Here is a 20,149-nt window from a genome sequence, read left to right as displayed (position 1 = left end):
TCCACTGCAAATGTTCAGTTTTTGTTGAAGTTCTTCTATGTTGGAATTTCATGTACATTTCATAATCAGTATTGTAATACACCTATATTAATTTTTATGGGGACATATCTCTGCTCCATTAAATCTTCAAGCAAAATTGTGTTCCCAAAGACACATTATAGCATATTTCTTCTCATGAGAAGGATAAGAAAATGTTTTTGTTTTGGAAAATGCAGTCAGGTGCAGTAGCTCATGCCTGTAATCCCAGCACTTTGGGAGGCCAAGGTGGGTGGATCACTTGAGGTCAGGAGTATGAGACCAGCCCGGCCAGCGTGGTGAAACCTCATCTCTACTAAAAATACAAAAATTAGCTGGGCATGGTGGTGCACGCTTGTAATCCCAGCTACTTGGGAGGCTGAGGCAGGAGGATTGCATGAACCCGGGAGGCGGAGGTGGCAGTGAGCCGAGATTACACCAGTGAACTCCATCCGGAGTGACAGAGTGAGACTCCGTCTCAAAAAACAGTAACAACAAAAATGCTCATAAGGTGGGCAACTATACACATATATCCCCTGTCCCTTGATGTCTTTCTTTATTATTAGTTTGTCTTTTACTAGTCTGTCAACATCTCAAGATAATGCAAAGCTAATTTAAGAAAAATTAAATATGGCACTTGGTTATACCTAAGGATTGTGTAGGGTATGTAGCATAGCTGTCATGTATATCGGACATGATTTTTAAATTTTTATTTATTATTTTTTTTTGAGACAGAGTCTCACTCTGTCGCCCAGGCTGGAGTGCAGTGGTGCCATCTCTGTTCACTGCAACCTCCACCTCCCAGGTTCAAGCGATTCTCCTGCCTCAGCCTCCCAAGTAGCTGGGATTACAGGCACCCGCCACCATGCCTGGCTAATTTTTGTATTTTTAGTAGAGACTGGGTCTCACCATGTTTGCCAGGCTGGTCTTGAACTCCTGACCTCAGGAGATCCACCTGCCTCGGCCTCCCAAAGTGCTGGGATTACAGGTATCAGTCACTGCGGCCGGCCAGGCATGATTTATTAATCTTGTAAATTTGTCAAATCGTCCTTTTGAAAAATATTAACAGATTGGAGGAGGGGACATTTATATATAGGATTAGTTTCTTCTAGTTTGTACATGGTACATTTATTTCAGTCTCTATAATTAGACTATATTATCTATTAGAAATTTGACCACATAGAGCAAAAACCATTCTCAGTAGATTACCACTAAGTAGACTACTGACCTTACTAGAAATAGTCAGAATCTTCTGGTTTTATTGTCTGACAAACTGTTAAAGGCCTTACCTTAGTTGTGGTGAAACACACTAATTTTCAGTTAGGGCTAAAGAAATCTGAAAGTCAATTTTAAAGTTTGTAGCTCTCCTTGTATACTTCTTATATTCAAAACATGTAATGTCCTGCTTATTTTATTCTGGAAGTCTTTTAACATTTAAGTATTTATTTAAGGTGACTTTGCGTAGGTAATAACTTAGAAGTTGGATATGCTTATTTTGTTTTCTGTGGCCTTTAAAATAATGTAATTTTTGTTTTTTATTATTTAGGGATGGTAGGATGCTCTTTGACTACCTGGCGGACAAGCATGGTGTAAGTGTTTTAAAAATATTTTAAAGTTGTCATGTTTTAATAATGCTGACTAAAGACTGGTTTGTACAGATGAGCTTATGGCTTGGCCTAAGAATATAATTTCCAGATTAATTTATTAATTATAAAATCTGGTTATATTTTTAAAACTTCAGTGTTTATAAATTGTTGCTGACAGGAAAATATGTGCTTATAGCTCACCTTTAGATGACAGAAATTCTCAAAGCTTGTATTTATTCCAGAGTTGTAATAGTTGGCAGTAATTGTTGGCATTTTATATTAGTGCCAATAGCAAGCTAAGTATTATATATTATAGGGCATAGGATGCCTTTTCTTATGGATTAACGAGTAAGGCAAACAGAATTAAATTTGAATTAGAAATGCTTTGAGCAGTAGAATTAGGTAGTACTTTGGCTGCCTTGTGGAACACAATAGCCTTTGAAATTATCAAGGTCTTTATAAGTCCCCAGATTCACAAATAAAGAAACATCGTAAGCTTTCCTAACCGTCACTCAATCTTATTTCCCTTGTGTTAACTCAAAGCATGAGGCTTTGCATATAATTAATTATTTAAGGAGTCCCCAACTCCCAGGTCATGGACCAGTACCGGAGGGCCACAGAGCAGATGATCAGAAGGTGAGCAAGCATTACCATGTGAGCTTTGCCTCCTGTCAGATCAGTGGAGGCATTAGATTTTCATAGGAGCACGAACCCTATTGTGAACTGCTCATGCAAGGGATCTAGGTTGCACGCTCCTTATGCGAATCCAGCTAGTGCCTTGATGATCTGAGGTGGAACAGTTCATCCTGAAACCACCTCCCCGACCCCAGCCCCCATTAGTTTACTTCTTTAAATAACTCCAGAGGTCAGTTCTATAAAAGTCTCCCAAAAGCTGCCACCAAAAATAAATACCATAATCAGAGATACATTTGACTCATAAAATATACATTAGAAGTTGGTGACTTAAACATTCATAGTTTTGACCTCAAAGACTTATGAATTACAATGGGGTTTTAAAACTCTAAATTAAAGAGAACTTAATCTTTTTTTTTTCTTTTTAGTTTAGGCAGGAATATTTAGATACACTCTACAGATATGCAAAATTCCAGTACGAATGTGGGAATTACTCAGGAGCAGCAGAATATCTTTATTTTTTTAGAGTGCTGGTAAGTATAAGTACATGTTTTTTTTTTTTTTTTTTTTGTCTTTTGTAGGATTCCCTTGGTTCTTCAAAACATGTATATAGATAGATTTGGGTCTGTTCATTAAGTTTTCAACAGTCATTGGCAAAAGAGAAAAAAGTAAAGAAAACCCTCCCACTCAAAAACAGAAACTAGAAACCTTGTTTCAGGGCCTCAAAATTTGGAGGGTGATTTAACTTGTCCTTGAAATCCAAAAGTAGGAACAATTTTATGATTTTTAGCATTAACAGAATCGTATCATGTAATGGATTTATTATTATAATATTATACAGCACAGTGAGTGGCACATTGTAGGTGCTTAATTAATATTGTTGAGTAAATCCATTATTCCTGATTTAATACTTTATCATATATATATATACTCCTTGAACTTGGCTCTAAACAACTGTGGAATCCTAACGGTATGTGAAATATTTTATGCCTTAGTAGTAACTTTTTTCCAGTTACCTCTGCCTTCAGCTATTGGAATATAAATATCAATGGTTTCTTCATTACGTGGGGTATAGATGAGTTTAAATGGTACTATTAACCATGAAGTATCCTATTACCGTATATTTGACAGGCTTCTAGATTTAGTGCTTTTGTTAGAGAAGGAGAGTTGTGTGAAGCCAAATTAAAAATCAGGCCTTGGCCAAGTGCGGTGGCTCACACCTGTAATCACAGCACTTTGGGAGGCTGAGGCGGGCTGATCACCTGAGGTCTGGAGTTTGAAACCAGCCTGGTCAACATGTTGAAACCCTGTCTCTACTAAAAATACAAAAATTAGCTGGGCATGGTGGCACGCACCTGTAATCCCAGCTACTTGGGAGGCTGAGGCAGGAGAATCCCTTGAATCTGGGAGGTGGAGGTTGCAGTGAGCCGAGATGGTGCCACTGCACTGCAGCCTGGGTGACAGAACAAGACTCCATCAATAAATAAATAAATATATATCAGGCCTTCAAATTGATGTACTTCGTTCTCACTCTGTCTTCTGTTTAGGAAAGTGTATTAAGTGCCTTCTACAGTTATCAAAACATCCTTGTATTAACTAGCCTCTCATTTGAGAAATTATAATTTGTTACCTTGGACTAGTAAGTAGGTACTTAAAGTCTAAGATTTCTTTTTTTTTTTTTTTTTTTTTTTTTTGAGACAGGGTCTTGCTCTCACCCAGGTAAGAGTGCAGTGGTGCCATCATAGCTCACTGCAGCCTTGAACTCTTGCGCTCAAGAGATTCTCTTGCCTCCTGAATAGCTAGGACTACAAGTGTGCATCACCACTCATGGCTAATTTTTAATTTTTTTTTTTCCAAGATGGAGTCTTGCTATGTTGCCCAGGCTGATCTCAAACTCCTGGCCTGAAGTGATCCTCCCTCCTCAGCCTTTCAATGCTTTGGGATTTACAGCCATGAGCCTCTGCACCCTGCCTGTCTAAGATTTCTCTAGTTAATCCTAGAAGTTGGAAAAAGACCTTAAAACAGAGACTTTTTGTCTTCCAACCTTGGAAGAGTTTGTTTCTTTTTGCCTTTACTTTCTGGTGCTTTTTTCTTCACTTGTAGCTCCACATGTTGCAAAATAAAGTCTCATGGCTGCTGTCTGTGGTTATTTTCTAGGAAATTAAAATTTTCATTTTGTGGGGAGGGAGAGATTAGTATTACTGATTCAGGTAATTTCTACACTTAAATTGCATAGACAACTTCACTTTTTGAAACTCCACCGTCCTTTAAAGAAAAAGATTTTCTGTTTATTTCCAACTTTGCTTAAGAAAAACAACTTTTTTTCTTTCTTGCTTCCATTTGTAGATGAATTCTTAATTTACAGATTAGCTGTGGTTCACTTGCAAGTGCATTGAAGGTAATCAGTGATGCTAAACTTGTAGTAACTTATCAAAAAATTCCATCAGTTTTACTTTGAATATTACGAGGGATTTAGGAGAGCAAAAGTTGATTACTTTGGAAATGTAAACAGCTTAAACCCGGATTGTAAAATCAGAAGCCTGGTATGATTACAGGTACATGAAAAGAGTTGGTTATTTATATCATTTGTTAATGCTGGGAGTGAATTTTGAGAATGAAGATTTAGTGTCATGTTAGAGTTCCAGCACAGTAAATTTATTGTTGCTGGTCAGTGAGTGAATGTGCCATTTTGCTAAGACATGGAAACTTAAGGTAACTGCTGGAAATCCAGATATTGAAACTCTTCTAGCATATCCACCCTTGAAAGCAGGTTAGTATGAAGAGCCAACTGTAATGACATGGAGTTTAGCCAGAGTAGTACACATGAACCTTTTGAGGATTAAAAAACTTGCTACACTGCTACAAAAAGCTTTTATTCTAACACATATAACACATTCTAGTGTTAATAGTATTATATTTATGTAGTATGGTTTTATATTAGTCTGAAAATTTCTACAAGTGACAGGTTTGTACTTGTAGGTTTGGTGAATTTTTATGTTTATTTTTTTAAAATATGACGATACAAGTTAATTCCCGGTCTTAAAAAAATTTGAGGGTTAGTTTTAAACTTTTGCATTGCCCCTAACAAATCTTGTGCTGGAACTCAAATGATATTTTGATTAAGTGATTGAATACTGTGATACAAACACTAAGTTAATATGTTTTACATCAAGAACAGTCAACATAGAGTTACTGGAAATTCTAAAAAGTTACATTCAATTCGTTTTAAAATTTTTGTCCTGTCTGAGCCACAAAACATTTGTGTTAGGCGAGAGTTTGTTGCTTCCTGTTGGCATATTGGCAGGCTAACAGTGCCAAGCTTAAAAGAATAGATATCTTTTTCTTTTGATTTAGATAGCCACTACCACAAGATCTGTGTATTTGTTTGAAGTTTTGTTAATAGCAAATCTAAAAATCTTGTTTGGATTTGGGATGAGAAATGTCAGTGTTTTACTTTTTAGTTAATTAATTTTATTTTTTGCAGTGGCCTTTTTTTATTTCTAAATACTTTTCTGGTGGTTGATTATTCTTTTAAATCTGTGGTTAGGGAAACATAAGCTATGAAAGAGCTATTGTAACTATGATCTGAGATTAGAATTTGACTCTCCAAATGACCTATTGTAGGTCAGTGTTGTATAAATTAAAGCTGTGTGACCCTAGAATCTGCCCTTAAAAAAAAAAAGAAAAGACTCGTGGATTTTAGAATACATTGAGAATTGTTCAGGTACACTCTGTTTGGTGTGAAACTTCTTTGATTTATACTCCAAGAAATGTGTTAATTGAAATAAAATGACGAAGCTGGTTTGGTGGGAATTTTTGAACACTTTTGCTTTAACAGTTATTAGCACTATTGATTATTTTGTTAAAATTTTCCCTCATTGTGGCCTTTGATCTGGCTCCATAATATACCCCATTCCCTTATTCAGCAGCTCTTTGAAATAAAAGTGATTTTAGTTCCTAGGACTATTTGTTATACTTTTGGAGCTGTCTCTTTCCCTCCCTCAGGATGTAAAATGTATTTCCTGTTTGTATATACCACTTCATTTAAAAATATTTTTCCTTGAGGCTCAAGACAGTATGAGTAATGATAATTTTTAGAGGCATTAGGATCTTGATTGAAATTCTGGCTCTGTTGTATCCTGTTGTGATGTCACTGTAAGAATTGTGCATTTAATATTGATCTTCAAGCATAGTTTTGCATATTTTAACATCTGAAATCAGAAAGTGTCTTTACTGGGTTTTTGGTTTTAGAAACATAAAATAATAATGTATGTTAAAATTGATGGCATTTTTGACTCGATGATATATTTTTATATTCAGATATCCTTTATAAGAATTAAACATTTTATCCTTTGTAATTAGAACAATTATTTTATGGATTTTGATAAACCAGTTTTTAAATTTTCAATGAATTTTGAAACATTTGTGTACTTGTGTGGCTACATTAAGTCAAGATAAAGAACATTTCTGTCACCTCAGAAAGACCCTTTTTGTTCTTTTGTGGCCATACTCCACCCATGGTCCTGGGCATCCATTGACCTGCTTTCTGTCCCTGTAGATTAGTTTTGCCTGTTCTAGAATTTTATGTATGTAAGTGGAATGATGTACTATGTATGTTTGTGTTTGGCTTATTTTTACCAGCAAGTTTTTGAGGTTCATGTTATTGTGTGTATCAGAAGTTAGTTTCTATTTATTGCTCAGTAGTATTTCATTCTGTGAATTTACCATGGTCTGTTTAATATATTCATCTATTGATGATGAACATTTAGATTACTTTTCGTTTTTGCCTATTAAAAATAAAGTTAGTATGAATATGCATGTACAAGTTGTATTGTGGATATACTTTGTGATAATAACTAGAACCAGGAGTGGTTCAAAATTTAATTTACACATCTACTCCCTGTGTTATTTGCCTGCTCTTAGTGTGCCAAATGTTATTTAGTACATTTGAAAGGAAGAATCTCAGTATAGACTGAGTTTGTATTGTGGTCCCCAATGTTTAGATCATATATCTGTAAATATGTATACACATTTACATATAGATAAATATAAATTTACGTATGTAAATGTATATGTAAATATATGTAAATCTGTATACCTATCTCTGCGATGATTTTCATCATCATTTCAGTAACTCAGATTTACCAAGTTCTTATTCTGTATCAGGTGATAATTGTAATCCCTGTATGTCTTATGTCACTTAAACTATACAACTGAGGTGGGTTCTATCCCCATGTTGCAGTGAGGAAGCTAAAGTACAAACTAGCTGTTAAGTGGTAGAGACAGAATTCTTGATTGGATTTCTGATCCTGCACATATAATTTAACTTGTAATTATGATATCTCTTGATATTTATACTATTATGTAAAAGTGCTTCTGTAAAAAATTAAATTTGAAATTTCATCTTGAGGTGTAGACATGTATTCTTCCCCCTCTACTGCCCTTACTTGCTTCTATTGCTTTAGCACATCTGATCGGTTCAGAGTCAGTTTACCTACTTCTGCTGCTTTGTTTTGAGGGAGTCCAGCTTTGCTCATTGTTATTAGCCTGGTCATTATGGATGTTTTGAGTTTGTGACTCTTTTACCAGCGGATAGAAGAGGTAGGGATGGCCCTTAGTCCCCTCTTTTTTTAGGTTAAGACTGTGGTGTAAAATTTATAGGTTTCATGATTAGAAGTGTAATTTGGGGCAAGTTACACTCTATATGTATTAGTTCCCATTTTGAAATGGGGATAAAAAAATATAGGGTTTTTGTTAGGATTACAGGAGAACACTAACTTGTATTGCTCAGTACATAATCCTTTGATAACTATTAATTGTTAATCAGTGGGCCTGCTTTTTTCCTGTCTCCCTCTCTCCGTACTGACTTCCATTTGTGTCATAATTTGGAAATATTTTTTGGTTCTGTACATAATTTCTCATTACATTGTAAATGAGACTCACGTGTCTTGATTTTCCACATCTTCATCCTAGTGATTTTAGTGACAAATTACATGTAAATCTAACTTGGTTTCTGAAGTTTTAGGTGCCTGAAATTTGATTAGTTATGTATAAATTATCTGAAGTGGGTTATAGTAAGATGATGCTGCTGTTTCCTAGTTATAAAAGTTATTTTTTATTTTCTTATCTAGACTGATTATTGAAGACCTGAGTATTTTTAGCAAAGGTTTTTTGAAACAAACCAGTGTGATCCAATAAGGACTTAGATAATTACAGTTTTTTGTAGAAAGCTATAGGTCTTTTAGTAGGCTAGAGGGATACATGGGTATAAAACATACATTATGTTCATTTTTCAAGAGTATTCACAATATAATTAATTATGATTTCTTAAACAGGTTCCAGCAACAGATAGAAATGCTTTAAGTTCACTCTGGGGAAAGCTGGCCTCTGAAATCTTAATGCAGAATTGGGATGCAGCCATGGAAGACCTTACACGGTTAAAAGAGACCATAGATAATAATGTGAGTTCGACTTTTTCACAGTTATTCTCTGAAATATCTGTGTATCCTTCACACTTTCTGATGAGGAAAATCACTATGCATTTTGGGAATTAAAAAAAAAAATTCATATTAGCTTTTGTTGACCTTACAAAAATCATAGTGGATTAGTGGCTTGACTAGTTTGAATCTCCTTGAATGAAATTGTCAGACTTCTTTTGGCTCTTAGAGAAAAAACGTAGCCTTCATTTCTGTTTTACAGCTACTGTGCCCTTTTTTTCTATGCCAGTCAAAATGACACTATGCTGTTAGTGCCACCTATTATTGAAAGTCCTATGCAGAAGACAGTTTTCATCTACAATTATCTAATTAAACCACTTACTATGAAATGTTCAGTTTAATTCTTGCTTTTAAAATGTTTTCTGAAATGATTATAATTTATAACTTCTGTAAGAGTTTATAAATTAGAGCGTCTTCAGTAGACATTATTGAATCTGTCTCTAAGAACAGGGTAATAATTTGGAATGTCGAGGGATCATGTAGAGAGAAGGCATAGGGGGTCGGACATTGATCATAATGACCTCCGTGCATGCCTTAGAAGGGGCTCATTTTTAATTACAGTTTTGAAGTTAGTGATGTTTGTCCTCCTGCCTCTTTCTTATATATTAATATTTTTTATGTATATATTTTTAAATCCTTTAGTCTGTGAGTTCTCCACTTCAGTCTCTTCAGCAGAGAACATGGCTCATTCACTGGTCTCTGTTTGTTTTCTTCAATCACCCCAAAGGTCGCGATAATATTATTGACCTCTTCCTTTATCAGCCACAGTAAGTTATTTCACTGTGTAATTTTGGCTTTGTTTAGATAAAATTACATGGAGTTGTTTAAACTTAAAATATACTTTTTTCTATCATTTGAATTTGTTGTCACCTGTTTTTTTTTTTCTTCATGTAGTAGATTTGCTTGTTACTGAAAAGTATGCATGTGACTCTTAAGTAAACTATTTGACAGAGTGTACCCTAAGCCTTTTAAAGTGCTATTTAAAGTGTGGTCCCTGGGCCAGCAGCATAGAAATCATATAGAATCTCAGGACTCACCCTAGAACTAAATTAGAATCTGCATTTTAATAAGATCCCAGGTAACTCATGTAAACATCAAAGCTTTAGAAATGAGGCTCTAGGGCATACTACTTGAAAGGAATACGTGCATCTTTTTATATCATCTTTGCTCTGTCAACTAGCTTTTGTTTAATATTTTGGTGATGAGAAATTCACTGCTTATGAACTAGACCATTCTTTTGTAAGCTAGAAATTATTTGTAAAATTTACTCTTCCAGTGGAACTCAAATACCTCTGAAACTTCTGCCCATTATTTCTTGTTTGTTTGGAATGACAGAAAACAAGACTGCTTCATGGAAACTCTTTAGATGTTTTAAGATAATTTTTTACTCCTCTCTGCTTCCTTCAGGCTAAATATCTCTAGTTTTATTAAGTAACACAGTTTTTCAGACCCTTTAGTATTTTGATTGCCTTTTTAGATAATTTCTATTCATATTCTTACAATCTAGATGTTCATAATTGAAATTTTATTCTAGGATTGTCATCTAAACTTTATAGATTACAGTGGCAATATTAGCTCATGTTACTTGTATGTATGCTTTTACTAATATAGCCTAAGATTGCAGTAGCAATTTTAGCAGTTGCTTCATGGTATGAGTTATATTGTATTGACTATATTATTGGGCAAATTTTACAATAACACTTTTTTTTTTAGATAATGTCTGGCTGTGTTGCCCAGACTGGAGTGCAGCGGCATTATCTTGCCTGACTGCAGCCTCTACCTCCCAGGCTCAAGCCATCCTCCCCCGTCAGCCTCCCAAGTAGCTGGGACTACAGGCACATGCCACCATGCCTGGCTAATTTTTCTATTTTTTGTAAGACAGGGTTTCACCGTGTTGTGCAGGCTGGTCTCAAACTCCTGAGCTCAAGCAGTTCTCCTACCTCAGCCTCCCAAAGTGCTGAGATTACAGGCATGAGCCACTGGGCCCAGCCCTACATTAACAGTCTTAGTTCATACTTTTACTATTTGTTCATCTAAATGAAGATTTTATAGTTTCATTACATTTTATCTTGTAGAAATGAAAATGGTTTCATATGACAAATGAAATAATAAGAATTCTAAATCATTAGGAAATACTATATACTTGGCTGATATCCTCCAAAATCTGAAATACCCTGTGTGGCATTATCAGATCAGTTAACTGAGGGAGGAATCATGGGGGGTTTTGCTTTGTTTTTAAATGATTCCATTAACAGGATTATGGGTCCTGATGAATGTATTGGTCAGTATTTAAAAAGTGTGTGCATATGGGAATATATCCTAACTTTGTGGGGCAAAAAATCCCTTATTTGAACATCCAGTAAAGCCTTCCTCCTCAAACATTAAAGTTAGATAGATATACACTGAAAAGCCATTGGATATTTGGAAGGAAGAGAAAAATGATATTAAAATTATATTTGGGAGTATTTTTACCAGCCAGTGCTTCTTAAACATTTTGGTCTTGGAACCCGTTTACACTGTTAAGAATTATTGAATGTAGGCCGGGCGCAGTGGCTTACGCCTGTAATTTCAGCACTTTGGAAGGCCGAGGTGGGTGGATCACCTGAGGTCAGGAGTTCGAGACCAGCCATGGTCAACGTGGTGAAACTCCATCTCTACTAAAAATACAAAAAATTAGCCCCACGTGGTGGTAGGCACCTGTAATCCCAGCTACTCAGAAGGCTGAGGAAGGTGAATTGCTTGAGTTTGGGAGGTGGAGGTTGCAGTGAGCCTAGATCACACCATTGCACTCCAGCCTAGGCAACAAGAGTGAAGCTCCGTCTCAAAAAAAAAAAAAAAAAAAGAATTATTGAATGTAATTTTCTTTGCATTGGTTTTATCTCTTGGTGTATACAGTAAGTCCTCAATATTGTCTCTAGGTTCTTGGAAACTGCATCTCTAAGCAAAACAATGAATAATGAAACAATTTTCTTTCTCAACAGCTTCATAATGAAAGAATGTTACTTGGTTTTAAAGTCGTAGTTTCCAAGAAGGTACCGATTATGTTAAGGACTTAACTGTATTAAAAATCAAAACAAATTAAAAATTTTCTCATTAATAAATGGTAAATTGATTCAATTTAACACATAATAGAATTTTAACGAAAGTAACTTTGAAAACAAAATTAGTGAGAAGAGTGACATTGCTTTACATTTTTGCAGACCTTCAGTTGCTGGGTTAATTGACAACTGGGTTTTCATGCCTGCTTTCTTGCAGTCTGTTGTGATGTGCTTTAACTGTAGGATGAAAAACCTAGCTTCACACATGTAGTTGGAAAAGAAAGGTGTGTTTTATTAATAATATCCTTTTCCGATAATTGTGAATATTCTTTTTTGAAGATACAGTAAAATTCAGTAAGAAGTACAGATAAAATAAAACTCAACAAGAAATAGTTTTTAAAAGGTTGTTTGTAATGTAGAATCTGAAACCATGTGGTTAAACTTTTTGGGATCCTAAGCTGTACTGGTATTCTAGACTGTATTGAGCTATCTTGCACTTGGAATGGATCTTTTTTACCCATGCATGATTTTATAGTATCATTCATTGGTTGTTTGGGAAATACTTACTGGTCCAGTGAGTTATGCAGGTATTCCAGTGTGTTGACATTATACAACACCAGAAAAACCACATTCATGAACATCACTACCAGACCCATAGAAACGGGTTTAAGCATTGGAAAGCTTTCAAGCTCCCAGTGGCTGATACAAATTTTCCAAAATTCTAGTTTTTCTTGAAAGCTCTAATTTTATCATTTGTTTTTCTTGAAGGACAGGCTCACTTCATTTTCTAGAAAATGTCTGGCAAATTCCCAAGTCTGAATGTCTGAATAGCTTTAGTTTGTCTGCCATTCTTTCAAGTAAAAACAGTGTTCTGTGAGAAAAGCAGCTGGTTCATCTTGTTTCTCAGTTGCACAAGTGCTTTTCCTTAAGGACAGCCGTGACAGTGAAGTGTGTATACAGCAGAAGCACTTTATGAATACTTACCATTTAGTCATACAGAAGACTAGAAAGATTAGTACTTAAGGGTTGAAGTTTTTAAAAATTAATTTGGGCTACGTGATTCAAGGACATAGTTGAAACTTTTTGTGTGTTTTTTAAAACTGCAAAAGTGTGGTGGTGAAAAATATAGGGACTGCTAGTATAGTTTGATGCCACTGCTTTGATTTACTCTAAAGTACAAGAAGAATTTGTTTGTTTATAGTTTAGTAATTTTTAGTAACTTAACTGAGTGATATAACCATCACAAGTCAGTTTTAGAACATTTTTATTGCCCCAGTAAGAACCATCATGCCTGTGGAACTATTTTCTTTGAACAGAAACAGCCTGTGGAAAAGAAAACTACTCAGTAGTATGATGACTTTTAGTTGTTTACAAAAGTACTGTGTTTACTGTTTTCACTTGCTATAGGGTCAGATTGCTGTCTTATTTTCTGTCTTGTTAAGTCTTCTTGCCTGATTTTGATTTTTGCTTGATTCTGACTTTTTTCCTAATGGAAATATACCCAGTTGACTTGACAGATCATTGTTTCACCCATTTCCTGGACTTCATATTCTTGAAGTGGGAGAGCTATTTACTGTTGAGATTGTGTGTGATTTGCATTTGTATATCTATAATCAGTATGTGTTTTTCAGTTGTCTCTGTTTAAGATTTATGAAAAAAGTAGTTCTAATTTCTTATAGCACAGTAGGTAGTTGGTTGATTGCATGTTCAATGGATATTATATGTAGATTGTAAATTGCATATTTTTAAAAATTATTTTATTTTTATTTTTTTTGAGACGGAGTCTCACTCTGTCGCCCAGGCTGAAGTGCAGTGGCGCAATCTCGGCTCACTTCAAGCTCTGCCTCCCGAGTTCACGCCATTCTCCTGCCTCAGCCTCCCGAGTAGCTGGGACTACAGGCGCCCACCACCACGCCTGGCTACTTTTTTTTTTTGTATTTTTAGTAGAGATTGGGTTTCACCGTGTTAGCCAGGATGGTCTCTATCTCCTGACCTCGTGACCCGCCCACCTTGGAATCCCAAAGTGCTGGGATTACTGGTGTGAGCCACCGTGCCTGGCCATACTTTTTATTTTTAATATAAAAGTACGTTAGAGATCATGTATACGTTTGTCCTTAAAATGAAAGTTTAGATACCAGTGCAGGTTAAAGTCTCTTACATCACATATATTACCATTTCTGCCATAATTTATTCTGAATCTAAAATGGAGATGATTTACACATTTGAAAAGTGTTGAACTTTTAAATGTAACATAATATATAAGATAAGGTGGCAGGTGTAAGATAGAGCAGTGTTCGTAGGCTATCGGAGATGAGGCTTTGCCACTAAATGTAGATGCTGTTAGGAAAAAGAATCCATTTGTAATACAATGCCCTATTACTCTCCACTTGTAGAAAGAAAGATGCAAAGTTCAGTTAGTAAAAGAGTATTTTGTTTTCTCAATAAAAATAATCTGAATTTTCTAAGAAATTTCAAGTTTTACTATTAACCAATCCACTATGTGATGTCCAGAATTTGTACAGACAGACCTTTCCTGCTGTTATTTTCCTTATATTTTCTAATTAGTTCCTGGTAAAAAAAACTCTTTGTCGTGCAGATAGTTTACCTGCTTTAGCTCACTCAGGATGACCTCCAAGGTCCTCATCTGGAGGTCTACTTAGTGTCCTACCTGTGTTTTTGTTTTTCTCTTTTTAAAGCCTGTCCTTCATGAAATGCACTTCCCTTTTTGTTCTTTCTTGTCCAAAACCTATCTGTTTTTAAGGTCCAGCTCAGATTTACTTCCTTCGTGAAGTCATTTCAGTGTATTTTGTTTAGCTTGTATTTGGTGTTTAGTTACTTAAAGCTGTTAAAATAAACAAAACTTATAATAGCTTCATCTCCCCAACTTGTAAGCATAGTTACAGACAGAGTTGTCATTTTTCATGTTCTTGTAGCACATAGTAGATACTTAAGTATTTTTAATTTGGTGGCATATTTTATGTTTTGATTATTAAATTTTCTGTGTTTAATTATGAAACACTGTAGGAAAACTCCCATAAAGCTGTACAGTTGGGGAAGATTGTGCTAGAATGAAAAAATAAACTAAAACATTTTACTTACCTAGCTTGAAATTTCACTTCATAGCACAAATACTGAGTCTGTTATTTAAAAAAAAAAAAAAAAAAAAACTAAGAAAATTTGATTTCAAAACTATGAGAAGTATAGCCTGCTATTACACAGCTTAGAATTCAAACGAGTAACATAATAAGTAATACAAGAGCATGTCTAATAAGTACATACAGTGGTATTGTACATGCTAAATACTGGAGAAGTTAGAAGCATCCAGTCCTTGAAGATAAAAATTGATCTGTCTTAAATTTGGTTGGACAGAGAAGAGAGATAAGCCAGGGAAGTAAAACAAAAGAGCACATTGGTCATTGGTAGGCTAACTGTTAAAATATATACCTGTGGTTTTGGTCATGTTTGAAGTAAGTTTTTAATTGCTGATCCTTCAAGAATGTGAATTGAGATAACAAAATAATCACCTCTAATCTCCACTCCTATTCCTTCCTCTCCTTATCTATATATAGATGCATACACACCTAAATGTTTATATACAGGATGGATCACTTTTGCCCTGTAAGGTAGGGAGTCTGCCATGTTTCAAAGTCTGGCTGGGCATGGTAGCTCCTCCCTGTAATCCCAGCTACTTGGAAGGCTGGGACAGGAAGATCGCTTGAAGCCAGGGGTTTTGAAGCCTGCCTGGGTAACATAGTGAGACCTATCTCTAAAACATTTTTTTAGAAATTAGCTGGGCATTGTGATTCACTCCTGTGGCCCCAACTACTTGGGAGGTTGGGGCAGGAGGATGGTTTGAGTCCAGGAGTTAAAGGCTGTAGTGAACTATGACTGTAACACTGCACTCCAGCCTAGGGGACAGAGTCAGATTCCATCTCTAAAAAGTAAAAACGCCTGGAGCCATGGTGATACTGTATACCAAGGATCTGCAAACTATGGACCATGGGCTAAAATCTGGCCCACAGCCTGTTTTTATATGTCTGGCAGTCTAGAATGGCTTTCATATTTTAATTGGCTAAAAAAATGTGAAAAGAATAATAATATTTTGTGATGTGAAAATGACATGAAATTTCAGTTTTAGTGTTCATAACTTTTTATTGGAAAACAGCCACTTTGTGTGTGTGTGTGTGTGCGTGTGTGTGTAGTCTGGCAGCTTTTGAGCTCTAATGGTAGATCTAAGTAGTTGAGACAGAGATGATATGTTGCACTTTTGCCACCTCATACTCTTCTCAGTTTACTACAAATCCAAGTGATGCCAGTTATACCTGGACAGTGTTTCTCAAGCCCCATATTGTCACACTGCAACATTTTATTTATATGTTATTTTATTACCAGTGCTTATTTACCGTGTCAAAACAGAGAAGTGAACTTCGACTATGATTATAAAGCACAGTGGAGTGGAGATTTTTATTGTAGGAATTACAAAGCAAAGTACTAAACTGACACTGTAGGTAAGCTAATAATATACATCCACATTACCGGACTATAATCACTTATCACAACTGTCACATGTTCTCAAACTGACAGGAAAGCAACTGTCAGAAAAATTATAACCTTTAGAAATGGAATATTAGATCCCAGCAGAATTTTTTCACAAAAATTAATGAAAGTGAGGCATCAAAATTTCTAGCCCAGAGCATTGCCTCATGCCCATAGCCCTATCACTTAGGCTAAGGCAGGAGGATCAGTTGAGCCTGGGAGACTGAGTAGTGATCATTTCACTGCACTTCAGCCTGGGTGACAGAATGAGACCCTGCTCTAAAATTTTTTTTTCAGTTAAGTGTCTGAGGGGTTCTTTTCTTTTCTTTCTTTCCTTTTCTTTCTTTTCCTTTCCCTTTTCTTTTCATTCCCAGTTCTTTTTCTTTTTCTTTTCATCCTGTCCTGTCCTGTCCTGTCCTTTCCTGTCTGTCCATGTCTCGCTCTGTCGCCCAGTCTGGAGTGCAGTGGTGGAATCTTGGCTTACTGCAGCCTCGGTTCACTCACTCCCTGGGCTCAGATGATCCTTCCTCCCAATTCAGCCTCCTGAGTAGCTGGGACTATAGGCTCACACCACTACGCCCAGGCATGTGTAGTACTTTTATCAGCCAAGTAAGGAAAGTCATTTACCAGTGGTGATCCAGTTAAAACATGTTTGATTTTAGCAGCCAGAGAAATCTGTCCAGTGAAGTAAACTTGTTTAAAACTATTAACCTTTCAGCGAGAACAGTTGCTCTGAGTTGAGGATATTGACAGCATGTTGATCTGGGGAGAGATTGAAAGTGCCCCCAACCCGTTATCAAACACTGAATGGCTCTGGAAGTTAACTTTTGCAGCAGACTTGATAATGTTTCTTAGTTTGTGCCATCTAAAATTGCAAAACAAAAGTGTTTATATGTAGAATTTATATTGCAGTAAAGTCATTTCAGTGACAACATGGTATGAATCATAAGTAATAAAAAGCCAGCTGCTTTACACATTTTGTGTTCTGTCAGAAGTTAAAACACAAAGGGAGACCTTCATTGCTAAATAGGATTGTAGCAGATGCATTTCCAAGTTCAAATTATAGTTGCAGAAAGTTTTAGACCTCATTGCAAGTATGAAGGAAATTTCTATATTTCAAAATTTAACTACAGTTGAATTGAAAGTGATTAATCTGCAATGTGATGACACGCTAAAAGATAATACCAAAATAATAGAATTGTACATGTCTTTCTAAATGTGCTCAATTAAAATAATATGCTTGTCAGTTGGTGTTTGATGTCAGCATTTACTAGTGCCTGTGCATGTTTTTACATTTTCCTTTTTTTTTTTTTTGGGAGATGGAGTCTTGCTCCGTCGCCCAGGCCTGGAGTGCAGTGGCACCATCTCAGCTCACTGCAACCTCCACCTCCCGGGTTCAAGTGATTCTCTTGCCTCAGCCTCCTGAGTAGCAGGGATTACAGGTGCCTGCCTCCACACCTGGGTAATTTTTGTATTTTTAGTAGAGACAGGGTTTCACCGTGTTGGCCAGGCTGATGTCAAACTCCTGACCTCAAGTGATCCACCCACCTCGGCCTCCCAAAGCACTAGGATTACAGGCATGAGCCACCATGCCCCGCCTACATTTTCTTTTTTCTTTCTTTTTTTGAGGCAGGGTCTTGCTCTGTCACCCAGGTTGGAAGTGCAGTGGTGCAGTAACGGCTTATTGCAGCCTCGACCTCCTAAGCTCAGGTGATCCTCCACCTCAATTTTATTATTATTATTTTTTGTAGAGACAAGGTTTCACTATGTTGCCCAGGCTAGTCTTGAACTCCTGGGCTCAAGCAGTCCTCTCACCTCGGCCTCCCAAAGGGTTGGGATTACAGGCATGAGTCATGGCACCTGGCCGTTTTTACATTTTCAAGGACTAAATATGTAAAATCTCATTACAGATTACATTATCAGAAAAACATTTGCAATACTTTTTAATGATATGGACCTCTAAATTTGAAATTAATTAAGCAAAATTATTCCCAGTGAAAGAATTCCATTGGTCTCATTAGCAGACCTATATTTTGGAAATTTGTTTCCTCTCTTTTTATAGAAGTATCTGGCATAATATTCTGAATTTGCCTCTTGCCCACAAAGCCAAAAATGTTTACTATCTGGTTCTTTACAAAAATTTTGCTGGCTTCTGAAATACACTCACAGAAACAAAGAGTAGATTTCCCAAATAAGTAATCCTCCAGTAAAAATAATTAAGATGTATATGGAGCAATGGTATAAACTCAGGATAAGTAAAAATAACTATGAGTTGAACACACTATACAACAAACTTATAGAACTATTTATGTATAAATTGATTTTAGATAAATTAATGATGAGTCTCATAAACGTGCACTAAAATGACCTACTTTGTCTGAGTGGAGTGGCTCATGCCTGTAATCCCAGCACTTTGGGAGGCCAAGGCAGGCAGGTCACTTGACTCAGCAGTTCGAGACCAGCCTGGCCAACACGGTGAAACCCCATCTCTACTAAAAATACAAAAAAGTTAGCCAGGTGTGGTGGTGTGCACCTGTAGTTCCAACTACTCGGGAGGCTGAGGCAGGAGAATCTCTTGAATCTGGGAAGCGGAGGTTTCAGTGAACTGAGATGGTGCCACTGCACTCCAGCCTAGGAGACAGAGTGAGACTTCGTCTCAAAAAAAAAAAAAAAAAAAGAAATAAAATAAAAAAATAAAATCACCTACTTTAAAACTGATAGTAAGAGAAACAATCATGCTTTCCTGTGTTTGTACCTGAGCTCTCTGGCAAGAGAAGTAATTGTTCTAAATGAGTATTGCAATACAAAATTTTCATTTCTAACTCAAGCTTAATTTTTCAGATGATGTAATTTAGCCAGTGTGTTTTTGGTGTCTTTTCCTAGAAATTATTTATTCTTGAGTGGATATTCTTTTTATACTTCACCTCGTTTAGAGGGCATTCAGGGTGGCTAAGTGGGACTAGATATTATTAAGTGTTCAATTCTAGGGTCCTCTAAAGAGTTTAAACAACATTTTGTGGGAATCTATAATATAATAAAATACAGATTTACTCATCATTGCCTGGGGGAACTTAGAAGATAAGGTATTGAAGCTGGACCTTGAAGGATGGCTAGGATTTAGGCTTTCAGGGGTATGTATTTGGGAGACCAATCTGTGTGGAGTGAACTTGAAGAAAAGAGAGAGGAAGCTGTCAATGGTAGTGTGATGGGAGATGTAGCTGGATGGATAATTTGGGGCTTGAATATTCACCTAAAAGAAATGGACTTTATTGACAGATAATTCTGAGATATGTATAGTGTCTGGCCCTCAGAGGTGCTAAATTAGTATTTATTGGGTAAATAAATAGGGAGCTATTTGAGGAAATTAAGCAGGAGAAATAAGGGTAAACACCTAATTACAGGGCATTGTCCCATGTTGATCATCACAACAGCAAGATTTGCTAAATATTAGCCAAGACCCTGTTAATGTTTACCTGACATCTATTCCTTCCTAATTCCTACTGCTACCACTTTAACCAATGTCTTGTAATATTGTAATATTCCTTCCCCGTTGCTTCCAGTCTTTCATCCCCTGAATTATTTAATTTAAGTGGCTGATTTTCTCATTAGTATGAGTGCTTTGCACATAGGTTTTCACACATTTTTTTCTAATGGGTGAATGAAAGTCATCGCTTAGTAGCCTTTTGGAACAGACTGACAGCATGTCAATGAACCTTGCAAAATCCTGTTACTCAAAAATAATAATAGGATAATTAGCCTCTTGATTGAGTCTTCCATCTCACCCCATATTAAAGAAATAGTGGCTAGCATTCTCCTCATTTGGATTCCTGAAACTGGATTCTGT

General features: G+C 36.1%; 1 protein-coding gene across 1 annotated transcript in view; it reads left to right on the top strand.

The window, feature by feature from the left end:
• Positions 1 to 20,149, top strand: part of EIF3E (eukaryotic translation initiation factor 3 subunit E) — a 47,502-nt gene that overhangs the window by 10,953 nt on the left and 16,400 nt on the right. The window contains exons 4-7 of the mRNA NM_001568.3: positions 1,562 to 1,604; positions 2,663 to 2,767; positions 8,570 to 8,695; positions 9,374 to 9,498. Of these exons, the coding sequence (NP_001559.1) occupies positions 1,562 to 1,604; positions 2,663 to 2,767; positions 8,570 to 8,695; positions 9,374 to 9,498 (399 nt within the window). The remainder of the gene's footprint in view (positions 1 to 1,561; positions 1,605 to 2,662; positions 2,768 to 8,569; positions 8,696 to 9,373; positions 9,499 to 20,149) is intronic.

Source organism: Homo sapiens, chromosome 8, assembly GCF_000001405.40.
Source record: "Homo sapiens chromosome 8, GRCh38.p14 Primary Assembly".
Taxonomy (NCBI): Eukaryota; Metazoa; Chordata; class Mammalia; order Primates; family Hominidae; genus Homo; species Homo sapiens.
The sequence above is the reverse complement of the archived record's forward strand: the minus strand, read 5'-3'. Positions and strand labels throughout refer to the sequence as shown.